Genomic DNA, 13,884 nt, shown 5'->3' on the forward strand with positions numbered 1-13,884 from the left:
CTGCAACAAAATACCACAGTCGAGTGATCTAAACAACAGAAATTTATTGGCTCACAGTCCTGGAAGCTAGAAGTCCAATATTAAGATACCAACAGGCTTGATTCCTTCTGAGCCTTCTGAAGGCTGTGCAGGTTAGCTTGCAGATGACTGTCTTCTCCCTGCCTCTTTCTGTTTACCTTCTATGCATGTATAGGTCCAAATTTCTCTTTTTATGAAGACCCCAGTCACATTGAATTAAGGCCCACCTTAATTACCTAATTTTAACTTGATTAACTCTTTAAGAATTCTATCTCCAAATAAAGTCACATTCTGTTGTATTTTCTCAGGAGTTAGGACTTCAACGCGTGTGTTTTGGAGGACAGTGGTCAGCCCATAACATCCTCTTTGCCCACACAGCTCAACAACAAGAAACAAACATGACTTTGCTGAGAGACTATAATCTGCACAGTGCTGTGGAGTTCTGGTCTCAAGTACAGCCTGCTTGGGGTCCAAACTACTATACCAGTATCTGTCAGCTTTCTTTCCTCTGAGTTGATCCTGTTCTCCTTTCCGATGTCTGGCTTTCAAAAATATTAGGTCTTTGACTTTGATAAATTATTTAGAGCTAGAGTCACCCAAGGAGGAGGCACTGGAGAGTTTATATTAACAAACTTATAGAACAACAACAAACACCCAGAACTTTCATGCATTGTCTTCATTTGTGGAACGTATTCATCTTTCTGGATCTATCTCTATGATAGAGGGTATGTATGGAATTCTGGTACTGGCTTAGCCTAGAACATTTGCTGCTTAGCCTAGATCTTTTGCTGCGACACTTTTGTAATCTGATAGTAAAATCAGTTTCACCAGATGAACATGTGTAGTACGTGGAGAAGGGATCCTTCCCCAGAGAAAATTAGAGAGTATTATCAAAAGCAGAATTAATGATTTTATGGAGGTAATAAAAAGAAATAAACGAAATAGGGGATGATAGCTACTAGTACCCAACAGAGGGACAACGACATATTCATTTTGTCTTATTTGAAGTACCTGGATGTTTTTGCCAATCTAAATCTACTACCAAATGCTGGGGGGAAAAGACATTTGAAGATTTTGATAAATTTTTACCTGAAGTGTACATTCTCTCTGAAGTATCTACTTTCAGATTTTGCTAAAAACTTAATCAAATGTTATTACATTTTTTCCTTTTAAAAGCTTTTATGTAGCAATGTTCCAGTGTTTTATTTCCTTTTTAAGGAGTTATTATCTTCCTAAGGTATGTCATGAGAATAGTTGGTAGATAAAACAGTAGTGAGAATAATTAAAAACATACACACAATCATATCATATTGGGAAATAAAATGTATTTATTTTCTTAAGCTATTTTTTGTCATTGTAATTACAAATATTTTGTCTATATTATGATAATGGGAGATAAAAATACTTGTGAACTTTTATTATCTTGATTTTTATTTCAGACTCCCCAAATTAGACACTGATATATTTATATTGAAAGAGAAAACAAAAATAATGACAGCTTTTGACTTATCTCCTCTATTCATTGCACCAAATTCTGATAAGTATATTGATTTCAGAGAGAACCCACTACTACCAAAATGTGGGATGCTAACAGAAAATACTCAGAGGCAAAACATATTGGGCACAGTTGTTCCCAAATGAACAACTTTAAAACAAATATAAGATTTCAGAACTGCTTTGAGGACATGTATATACGGAAAGACCAAGAGTTTCAGCAACGCTGCATAATCTGTGCATCTCAATTCAGATCGGACATTTTTGAACTTATGGTTTAAACATATTTGATCTATGTGAATTCATTACAATTATTACTATTATCTATGTTCAAATTGTCACACCTGTGGAAATTTCCCCTCTGGTACCTTCTTTATGTTTTTTACCATACCGAGTCCTATTGATTTGACCATAATTACCTTCGCAAGCATCCTTGCTATCTGATATGACAAGATATTTCAGACTCATCTTGGATATATCCTGTCCCACAGCCAAAATGAGCCATTTCTTCAAGGAGCCCTTCAACTATTAATGGGAAATGCTATTTGGAGATGATAATCTGTGTTCACAGAGTATAGTTGACTTTTATGGCCTAGAAATATATTATCTTAATTATCAGTTCATGTGAAGGATAATCTTTTTGCTCAGTAGAGGTCTTGTCATACCTAACAAATGGTGTATTTCTAGCATGGTAATAATTAAAACTGTGATTTACAAATTTAAATTTGTTAATAAGGAAGATAGATTCTTTTCGAACTTATGTAAGTAAATACCTGATTAGCAAAGTAAAGGAACTTAGTAAAAGCCCTTAATGTAACATTTACAAATTATTATCTTTGATACATAAAGACAACAAATCAATGCCAAAATTTTCTACAAAATTTGTATATTTTTGATGATTTATTAGCTTATAATCTACATTAAGATATTTCCTGGGAAATTTTGTCTTAAATTTTAGGAACAAAGGCATACTTTAAGTAACAAGGCAATTAATACACATTTAAGATCTTTATTAAATTCAGAGTTCAGTCATTCTTATTGTATGCTAATCAGAGGCATGGATTTTGAGACAGACAGACCTAGGTTTGCCACTGATTGTGACATTGGAAAAATTACTAAAATCTTCCTTTATTATTTTAAAATCCTCACTCAAATGAAAAGATTTTAAAAGGTAATGTTTTCTAAGCTCTTTGTACAATGGCTAGTATATCACAGAACAATAATTAATGGTACCTTATACCTACTAGTGGCTGTGAAAGCAAGACTCAGAGACAAAAGTATTGAGAAAAGAAGAAATTTATTCTGCACTAATAATTTGTAGAAGACTGAACTTCAAGAGGAGATGGCAAAATCGAAAGGAAGGGAGAAAGGAAAAAAGAAAAGGAAAGAGCGAAAGAAAAGAAGGAAGGAAGGAAGGAAAGAAAGAAAGAGAGAGAGAAAGATAAAGGAAGGAACCTAGAAGGAAGAAAAGAAGGAAAAATCGATGTTTAAATTTAAAAAATTGCAAAATTACCAAGGTTATAAAGTTTCCATTATTAATCAGTTTATTCTGGAAACACAGCAACTTTCTCAGAAGATGCACATTGACAAAAGTCATGACATATTTTTAGATAGCATTGCAAAGTGAGAGATAAAATTGGTTTTTGGTAGAAGTCCAGGCTTGAAGAAAATTCTCCAAGTATTTGAGGAGCCAGAACTAGGACAAAACTACGCTTTGTAATTTTGTTTTATTTTTTGGGCAGAGTGGCTGTTCTGCGTGTAAAACAATGATCAGAAACCAAAATCAACCAATTCACTTCTAACAGACTTTTTATCTGTAGTATGTATAATTTAAAATATCCTCCTTTGAAATTCCTGTGTTAATATTCTCGACTGACAGAAAGTGGCATTCATCATAACTGTTATCTAGGATTCTATTTTGAATATTTCAGAGAGCCTAATACAAATCACAAATTACCACAACCATAAGGCCTACTAGGCTAAATATAATTTCATGTGTCTTAGTAGGATGTTACAACTGGTTATCAAAATAGCTCCTGGATCTTCATTACAACCTTTTGAATGCTAAACAATTGAGGGAACTCAGGTGAAACATAGATGATTTCTAAGGTCCCTTCTAGCTCTAACATTCCATACCTTCTCAGCTTTAGGTTTCTAATACAGCATACATATAATATACATGCATAGGATCTATAGGATACATACATATATGTATGTATTATGTTATATTGTATATATGTGTATATATGTATATAAACAGCATATACAATATATACTATATATAGTATATATACAGCATATATACATACATATATATTGTATGTATATAGCCATATTATGCTATATACCTGCTAATACACATAATGCAGCTTAACCACGGTATAGCTGAGGAGATTTGCAGGAAATTCAACTCACTTGCACTCTAAGTAGACACATCACTCAGTAGTTCTATAGTGAATTATTTAGCATATCTTGAAACTTTTTACAGTTTTCTTCATTCAGTAGAGCACATCAACTTCACTTAGTTGTCCTTATTTCATTCTAGTTTCAACTAGGGATCATAATTTAACCTTAGCTGCCTCAGAGTTATTTCATATTGCATTCCTCTTTTCATGGAACATTGCAGAACATAATAAGAAAGCCTGTGAGTAAAAATTTCAAAGCAACTTGACATCCAGGAACAAACCTTTTCCTTGCCCTCAGGCACACACACAGGCGTGTATATACACACAAGTACCCCAGAGATTTTTTTTGTCATATTTATTCTTAGGGTGCTAGGTCAAAAGGAAGGCTATGCCTAGGTAAAGAGGAAGCATTTTATTTTCTTACTCTAGTTTAAGATTTGCCTACCAAACTAAGGTTTTGTCTCTTGAGTAACCTTTTCTAATTACTGGCATTCATTTAAATAAACATCTAGTCTAGCTCTTTAGTTCTAAGGAAGCTTGTGTAAAGTATAATCCATTGTCAGTATATGACCCAAATTACAGAATAGTAGATAATACTAGATATTATGCACAATTACCTGTTGGCTATCAATACCACACCTCAAGTTAATGTTAATGTTAATGTTTGTCAAACTTATCCCCTTTCCTTGTTACTCCTTCATGCGTACAAACTAAGAAGAGATGAATAAGGTAAGAGTACAGTAAAAAAATGATCAATTTTCACATGATATTTACAGGTTTTTTGTGGCACTTGATAATTTAAGATTAATAAAATTGAAATGGTCACTAGCCCAACTCTAGTCTGTGCTAGAGCTGCTCAGCATACCTATACTAAAAATAATTTTCATCTTTAAACATGGTCTTTGCTGGTATAAAAATTGAGGTCTATTTCAACAGACAAATATTTTACATGGTGACCTCCCCTAAATTCAACAACAATAAAATTCTGTCAGTATTCAACATTTTACAGTTTTTACTTTTTTTCTCTCTCATGATTTTTAGTACTTCTATTTTTCCTGGTTTTGTCACATAAAGAAAACTAGATTATCTCTACTTGTAATTGCTGAAGTCAACTCAGACACCAAGCATCGTTGCTTTGACAGCTATAGATAGTATGTTTTTCTTCAGGAAGAGCTTACAAGATGGGAAAGAGAAGACAGTAACATTCATCCCTCATTCTCCTGGGCTCATTACTCATGTAGCCATTTATTTATATGAGAAAAATGACATTTTCTGTGCATCCAACAACTTGTGTACCTTGCTTGTAATGACAAAACTGTGGAAAAATACTACCTGTTTATCATTATTAAACATGCCAAGAACTGCAGTGACATTCTATTGACACTAAGTCATATACTCCTGGTATTTAACTGCTTTAGTCCTAATGACTCATCAAGCTGATATTAAATATAATTAAGGACAGTGAACTGCAAGTTCCCCACACCAAAATTCTTGATCTAAGAGACAGGACACCATCACTCCAGTGTACTTCTCACACAATTACACCTCTATATCTTTGGAGACTTTTGCTGATAGTAAAAACCCAGTTTTTTTCCTACTAAAGTCTTTCCAAGTCTGTGATCATGGCAGAGCCGAATGGACATGAGTGATTCTCTTCTTCCTTCATGAAAAAGACCTTGCCTTAGACATGGAATGAAAGGACATATGAAAAAAATGGAGGTGCTGATTTGTGTTTTGCAGAGCCAAGAGTCGGCTCAATTCTTATCTTCTCTGATTGTAGTGCCAAAAGAAAATACTAAAATAATAGAGAAACAATATAAAGCCCTAAAGATATGCCAACCAATTTACAGACCAAATAACTCTATTTAATCATATATACCAATTGAGATGTCCACATTCATATATAGATTATACCAATTGGTGCTGCATGTGGTTAAACAAATCCTGAATATAAGAAGATACATGAAGGACAAAGGAATCAGACTTACATTAAGGTATCTTTTTTCAGAAAACATGTTTGTTATAATTCATTTTAATAGAAGTTTATTTTTATTGCCAAGATAATGTAAAAATATTTATTTAGTCAACCAACATTAAGTATGAGAAGCTATTGTAAATTCTGGTAAAATACGTTAGTGAATAAAAAGAACGAAATCTCCTTGCATGGACTTGACTTTCTAGTGAGGAAAGACTAATGATAAGTAAATAAATGTGTAAATATATGGAATATATTAGACTTACCAAACTCTCTGGACTTCACAAAATATTTGCAAAGTCCTTCTATGTTTCTAGCATATTCTTATTTTTTGAATTGATGTAAGCCCAAAAGCCTGATGCCACTTAACATATCTCTTAGGACTTCTGTGCTTTAACAAATATCTACTGTTAGCACTGCATGATTTCATAATTCTGATAATCAATTATTCACACTAGTACCTACAGAGAAGCCCATGGTCATCTCTTTCTACACTTCTGATTAACCTCATATTTGAGAGTTGGGTGGAGTACATCCAATAATAGCGATCCCTACAAAGTGAAAGTACAGTAAGAGGGACATAAAAGTATAATGAGAAATTGTAACCAAGAGGATGAGACTCACAGATCGATACTTAATCACCTTAAGGAAACTACACAATTAATCACTTGCTCAAATAAAATAAGAGTTTAAGCTAAGTAGTTTCATTTTATCTACAAGAAACCCCAAAAATTTAGCCTAAAAACAAATCAATCCAAAACAATGTAAACAAAGTACAGATTATTTTTAAATAAATTTTTGTTTTGCTTAAAATATGTTTAATATTAGTGCCTAGACCAAAATTATGATTCTAAAAATAGTTATTATATTTTAAATTGATTTAATTATTTGATTTGAACACATTTTATTGAGGAGTGTTATGTTAGCAGTGTGGGCAAATAAAAATAAAAAGCACTTTCTCGGCTATCAGAAACACGTGAGATAGAATAAGATTTAAAAATTAACATATGTCTACATGCAAATTCTAAGTGCCATATCACAGTGCAAAATGCTAGGAAAGTGAAGAGTGGGTACTATCATTTTTCATTGCCTTGTTGAAGAAGGTAGACTTTGAGATTAGGTTTATGATATTGGTAGGAACTGTCCAAGAGATAACTTTTCTATAAAACTTGTTTTAGTTTTCTATTGTCTTGTAACACATTATTCCAAGCACAGTGACTTAAAACATCACACACATTTTTTTAATCTCACCTTTTCTATGGATTGGGAGTTTGGACAAGACCCCTATGGGCCCTCTTCTTAGGGGTCTTAAATGCATACAATCAACATGTTATTTGTGTTCTCATCTGGAGGTTACACTAGAAAAGAATCCAGTTCCAAGCTTATTAAGACTGTTGGCGGAATTCATTTCTTTGTGGTTTTATGACTGAGGTCCCAAGATTTTGTTGGCTACAGGCTGGAGGCTGCCCTCAGATTCTAGAGGCCAACTGCAGTTCTTTGCTATAAGGGGGTATCCATTTGTCACATCTACTAAAATAGATCTAACATAACATAACAACATAACATAACATAACATAACATAACATAACATAACATAACATAACATAACATAATCATGGGAGTGATGACCGATCTGGTTTTCCGTATTGTAAGCATTAGAAGCAAGGTCCAGCTTGCACCAAAGGAAAGGTATTAGGCAACAGGAAATGAGATATCACTGGGGGTCACATTAGGATTTATTTGTCACAGCAACAAATGACTCCCTAAATTGAAGTAATTTGCAATTCATTTCTTGCTTATGTCACATTTTGGTGGCTACAGCAACTACTGTGATGCCATTACAAATATCTTATCATCCCAAGACTCAAGCTAAAAGTGAAGTTCCTCTTTTGGAGATATCACTTGTGCAGCAGAAGGAAAAGAGACATGATTGAGATTGATTATTCCTTTTAAAACAACTGCTCAGATGAGTTCATCCACATGTCACCAATCGGAAAACATCACATAACAGTAAGAAGAAACATACAATTCTCTTGACAGTGAAAGGAAGAACAACCATCTGGGAACAACAGAACAATCTACCAGACTTTGAAATAAAGATACTGGGGAAGGTTTCATGGTAGTCATAGAACTGAAAATTCATGCAGCATGTATAAAATATTCAAATGTTTCCAAGTAGAAGAAATCTATTCAATATACATTTAAAATTTCAGTTGGTTTGAACCTTTATACTTTCACCATTTTTATGTTCTTACATTATAGTTGACCATCACAAACCACCGTTCAAATATTAATTTTTTTAAAAACTCATCTGCTGATGAAGAAACTTTCATAATTTTGAATAGAAGTACTGCCTATTAATGACAAATAGGAATCTAAATGATATTGCAATCTTTGTTTAGCAGCATTTACCTATGCAAAATTTAAATATTTGTTATTTTAAGGCTTTATATAAAATAACAAAATTAGTGTAATTTTTGTTTTAAGATTTTATAAATTTAGTATAGTTAAAACCAAAAAAATTCATACAACTGGAAATGCCGACTAGGCTTTCAATGTGAAGATTAATAAAAAAGTTCAAAGTGTAAAGAATGCACTTAATCACGCCTGTAATCCCAGCACTTTGGGAGGCCGAGGCTGGTGGATCAAGAGGTCAGGAGACTGACACCATCCTGGCTAACACATTGAAACCCCGCCTCTACTAAAAATACAAAAAATTAGCCGGGCCTGGTGGCACGCGCCTCTCCCAGCTACTGGGGAGGCTGAGGCAGGAGAATCACTCAAACCTGGGAAGCAGAGGTTGCAGTGAGCTGAGATTGTGCCACTGCAGTCCAGCCTGGGCGACAGAATGAGACTCTGTCTCAAAAATAAAAATAAAAAATAAAAATAAAAAAAAAGAATGCACTTAAAAGAAAGGTTTAATCAATTATTTCCTTTCTATAGTTCAGGTCTTCAGGACCTGTACACACTCCCCAAATTATAATTTGTTTGATTGACTTTTTATACCCATAATTTGTAGGGAAAAGAGAGATCAGACTGTTACTGTATCTATGTAGAAAGGAAAGACATGAGAGTCCATTTTGAAAAAGACCTGTACTTTAAACAATTGCTTTGCTAAGATGTTGTTAATTTGTAGCTTTGCCCCAGCCACTTTGACTCAGCCACTTTGAACCAACCTGGAGCTCACAAAAGCATGTGTTGTATAAAATCAAGGTTTAAGGGACCTAGGGCTGTGCAGGACATGCCTTGTTAACAAAATGTTTACAGGCAGTATACTTGATAAAAGTCATCGCCATTCTCTAGTCTCAATAAACCAGGGGCACAATGCACTGTGGAAAGCCACAGGGACCTCTGCCCTTGAAAGCGGGGTATTGTCCAAGGTTTCTCCCCATGTGATAGTCTGAAATATGGCCTCGTGGGATGAGAAAGACCTGACTGTCCCCAAGCCCCACACCTGTAAAGGGTCTGTGCTGAGGTGGATTAATAAAAGAGGAAAGCCTCTTGCAGTTGAGATAGAGGAAGGCCACTGTCTCCTGCCTGTCCCTGGGAACTGAATGTCTCGGTATAAAACCCGATTGTACATTTGTTCAATTCTGAGATAGGAGAAAAACTGCCCTGTGGTGGGAGGCGAGACATGTTTGCAGCAACGCTGCCTTGTTATTCTTTACTCCACTGAGATGTTTGGGTGGAGAGAAACATAAATCTGGCCTATGTGCACATCCAGGCATAGTACCTTCCCTTGAACTTAATTATGACATAGATTCTTTTGCTCACATGTTTTTTGCTGACCTTCTCCTTATTATCACCCTGCTCTCCTACTATATTCCTTTTTGCTGAAATAATGAAAATAATAATCAATAAAAACTGAGGGAACTCAGAGGCCGGTGCAGGTCCTTGGTATGCTGAGCGCCAGTCCCCTGGGCCCACTGTTGTTTCTCTATACTTTGTCTCTGTGTCTTATTTCTTTTCTCAGTCTCTCATCCCACCCGACCAGAAATACCCATAGTTGTGGAGGGGAAGGTCACCCCTTCATAATTAAGGTATTCATTTGCTTATTCAACAAATACTTAGAGAATATCTAGTATGCAGTATTCATTGCTCTAGATTCTAGGGATAGGATATTTTAAAACATTTTAAAATTTCAGATTTTTTGGAGCATAATGTTTTGTAGTAAAAGACAGTAAGTGTCTAATTAGAATATATCAGATAATGTCAATTTATAAGAAAAATATAAAATGTGAAAATGGATAGGAAAAGTTGGAAGTAATTGGAATTTTATGTAAGGGTAAATATAAAAGGACGTAATAAAAAAATATGGCATATGAGTAAAGACCTTACTGAGGTAATAGGGAAGACCATTCCAATATTTAGGGGAGAAAGACGCACTGCAAAGGGTTCAGTGAGTGCGATATTATATGATGAGATGCTAGTAGAAAATCAACAGGCGCTCTTAGACCCAAATTGTATAAAATGAATTGAAGCTTTTGATGTGGAACAAATAAAACCTATCCACTCGGAAAAAGTATCTGGCAGTAACATATGAGATGTTGTCACAGTAGGGCAGAATCAGAAAACCCAGCTATAGAATTTTCATAGAAGTTTTTGGTAATCTGGGCAAGAGATAAAAAGTGATAGCAAACACTGTCAAATAGGTGCTGAAAACTTTTGCTCCCTTTTTTCTTCTGAACAACCAACTTTGTTGCCATGTTTCCTTCTTTCCATCCCTTAATTGAAGAGAAGATGGCCCTATCCCTAACTCAAGGGTTAAATCCTGATTTATTAACTTAAGAATGGCAGGTCTTTTCCTTCTGCTAGTAAATTAATTTAGTAGTGAAAATGTGACCTAATTGTGGGAAATAGCATTGAGAAAACTTTCTTGAGAATTTCTGGTTAATGTTTTTACATTAGTAAAATATACAGAAGGAAGTGTCCTTGTCAGTAATATTTTTCTAGATATTCCTGTATCTTGGAATTCCCAATACATTTTCTATTTATTATGGGACAAAGTCTTATGTATATAAATCTTAACACAGAGTGAATCCTGGACATAAAAGCTGAAAGACACTACATATTTGTTGATTTCACTGCGATGCTGAATTCAGCAACCTTGAGATTGTCACAATTTAAGGCTTCATTTAAATTACCTTATAATAATTTCTTACTGCTAAAACCACTGGATTTTAGATATTTCTCTTGTTATAGTTTAAAGTTTTCTGAGTAAAACTTAAGGGAAGTAGTAAGACCATAACATGGAGTAAGACTAGGGATAAACAGAATGGACATTAAGATAATTTACTGGAAGCTTTCCATTTAACAGATATTATTCTGAGTACTTGACAACAATAAATTCATCTAATCCTCACAACTACCCTGAGAAATAAGCTAAATTTACTCCAGAATATAAGCTCTATTTTTCTTGGTATCAAGCTGGTATCAAGCTGTTGCTAGAAAATGGCTGACCTTAGAGGAGTTACATTTCCCAGGCTCCCTTGCAGCTAGGGCTTGTGATGTATTTTCATCAATGCCATGTGAATTGAATTGATGAGGTACCTTTCCAGGACTGACTCACAAAAACCTTGCACACGGTGTTGCATTATGGCTTTTTTCCACTTCCAGGTGGCTGACTTGGAAAATAAATGTTGACATCAGCAAAGCCACCAATATCCTTGTATTTGTGAATGCCAGCATGGGGGAGAGAGTATCCTTGGCAACTTGCTAACAGACTCTAAGTTCTTGCTAAGTTCTTTAACAAGAGCAAGAAATGAGCTTTTATTGAGTAAGGAATAATGTACTATTGTATGCGGATCTTTATATATTTTTTGCTCTATATGACATAGCCATTCTCTAATTGGAGGCATGGAAACTGAAATCTGTGTGCATGCACATGGAAGTCTGCATGTGTGTGTGAATATCTGCCTGTATGTGAGAATGCACAATCCTGGTTGGATTTTGGTACTGAGATAATATTAGAATAAAATAATTGGGTACTTTTTTTTAATGTTTCCTTTCTTCTGGAGCCCTTTAAATGGCCATGGGGCTTAATATTTTCAGAATATTTTGTAGAAATCTCATATTAAATGGCCTGTTGATAATTTTATTTCTATTTGTAAGCATTGTTCTATCTAGATTTGATATCTTTTTGAAGATTGATTTTGATGTTTTGTTTTTTCATGGTGCTCAGTCATTGCAAAAAAAAATTGTCTAGATGTGAACATAATAGTCTCATATGATGTCTTCCTGTGTGTGGTTAGACATTATCTTTGAAGATAATTTTTGCTGTTGTTGTTCCTTCTATTTTTGGGAATGGGTTATCTCTTAATTTATTAGTTCTATCACTTTTTGTTTTGTTATTCATTAATGTCAGCATTTACATTTGTTAAAATCAGATCATTCTACTTTTCCAATGCCTAATTATATTTTTAGTGTCTTGGATTTGATTTTTTCATAATAAAAATATATACAGCTTTTAGTTTCTCTTAAAAACCCTTTTATCTATATCTCATCTATTTTAACATGTAACTTTTTAAATTACCCTATTTCAATTTGGATTTCCTTTTTGATATAACAAGTTGTTTAAAATAGTTTTATTTGTTTTTTTTCTTATAGCATCATATCATCATTATTTGGTATTAACCTCAAGTTTTATTACATTGTTATCCATAGCATTTCACTACTATTAAAATCAGTAAAGTTATCTTCCTATCAATTCTAATGGGTGCTAAAGAGATTCAAATGTTTCCTTTGAGAGTGTTAAAGTGTTCTATGTTTGTTAGTGTTTTTATTTTCTTAAAATTGGTCTCTCTAGTTATGTCCCACTATTTAATGTAGGATAATGCATTATTGGTCAAAGTAGTAGTTAGATAGAATTGAAAAATCCATCATCTATGTAGACCATATACTCACTTCTCTGAAACTTAATTTCTCCATCTACTAAATCATGGTAATAATATCACTTTATATTATAGTTATATAGATTTGGGAACTATATTGTATATCTGTTTTCTGTAGCTATATTGTATAAATATATTGTACAACTGTTTTGTGAGCTATATGGTATACAATAGGCACTCCATATAATTTAGATATTGTCTCCTGTAGCCTATTCAGATTGAATATCCCAAGCTTTTCTCTATTTCATTCCTTTCCTGATTTTAGCCCAAGGTCAAAAATGACATCCTTCTCTATTTAGGCAGAGGTGTTAAGAGGGTATACCTAGCCTGCCAGTGGATTAAAAACATTTGTTTTTTACCCAGGAATAAATGTTGCATATTTTGTGACAAGCAATAATGATTACAACATAGATATCTTAACATAAATTAAAATGCCTTAAGATACCAAAATGCAAATCACCCCCAAAAATAAAAAATTCAGCACCCAAAGGTATATATTTCTAATAAGAATCCCAAATTAGTTATGGCTAATCTGACCACAGACTTGCTGGCAGAATCAGAACTTTTCCTAGCAAGTACAAGTTTGTCATTTAAGAAGACAGACACACACTAAATAACCCAAGGTGTTTTAAAAATATCAATGCCCAAGTAATTCTAAGATGCTCCCAGGTTTGAGAATCATTGAAATAGTGTTTCATTTATTCTAAGCAAAACTCAGTGAGGTCATTATTATATCCAGTTTTCAGATGAGGAAAGTGAAAGTCAGAGGAGACAGCATTGTTCAAAGTCATATAAACTACTGGCTTAAAGCTGAGAGTTAAACTCCAGGGATTTACTCTAGAACCTCTCAAGTGGACGGTCTTTCCCGTACTCTAGAAGTATATTGAGAAACCTTGACCTTGAAGTAATTTAGAAATGAATTACTATCTGAAAGGTGAAATAAGTGCAGAATTAACTAGAACACGAAAATACAAAGCCATTTTAAAAATAAATGCAAACTAGGACTCCAAAGCTGGCAATAATTGAATACAGATTGGATAGACATTCTAGTATACTAAAAAATGAAGGGGGATTTTTCTTCAGCCACCAAAAAATATAGCCA

Source organism: Homo sapiens, chromosome 11 (genome assembly GCF_000001405.40).
Source record: "Homo sapiens chromosome 11, GRCh38.p14 Primary Assembly".
In the NCBI taxonomy this organism is placed as follows: domain Eukaryota; kingdom Metazoa; phylum Chordata; class Mammalia; order Primates; family Hominidae; genus Homo; species Homo sapiens.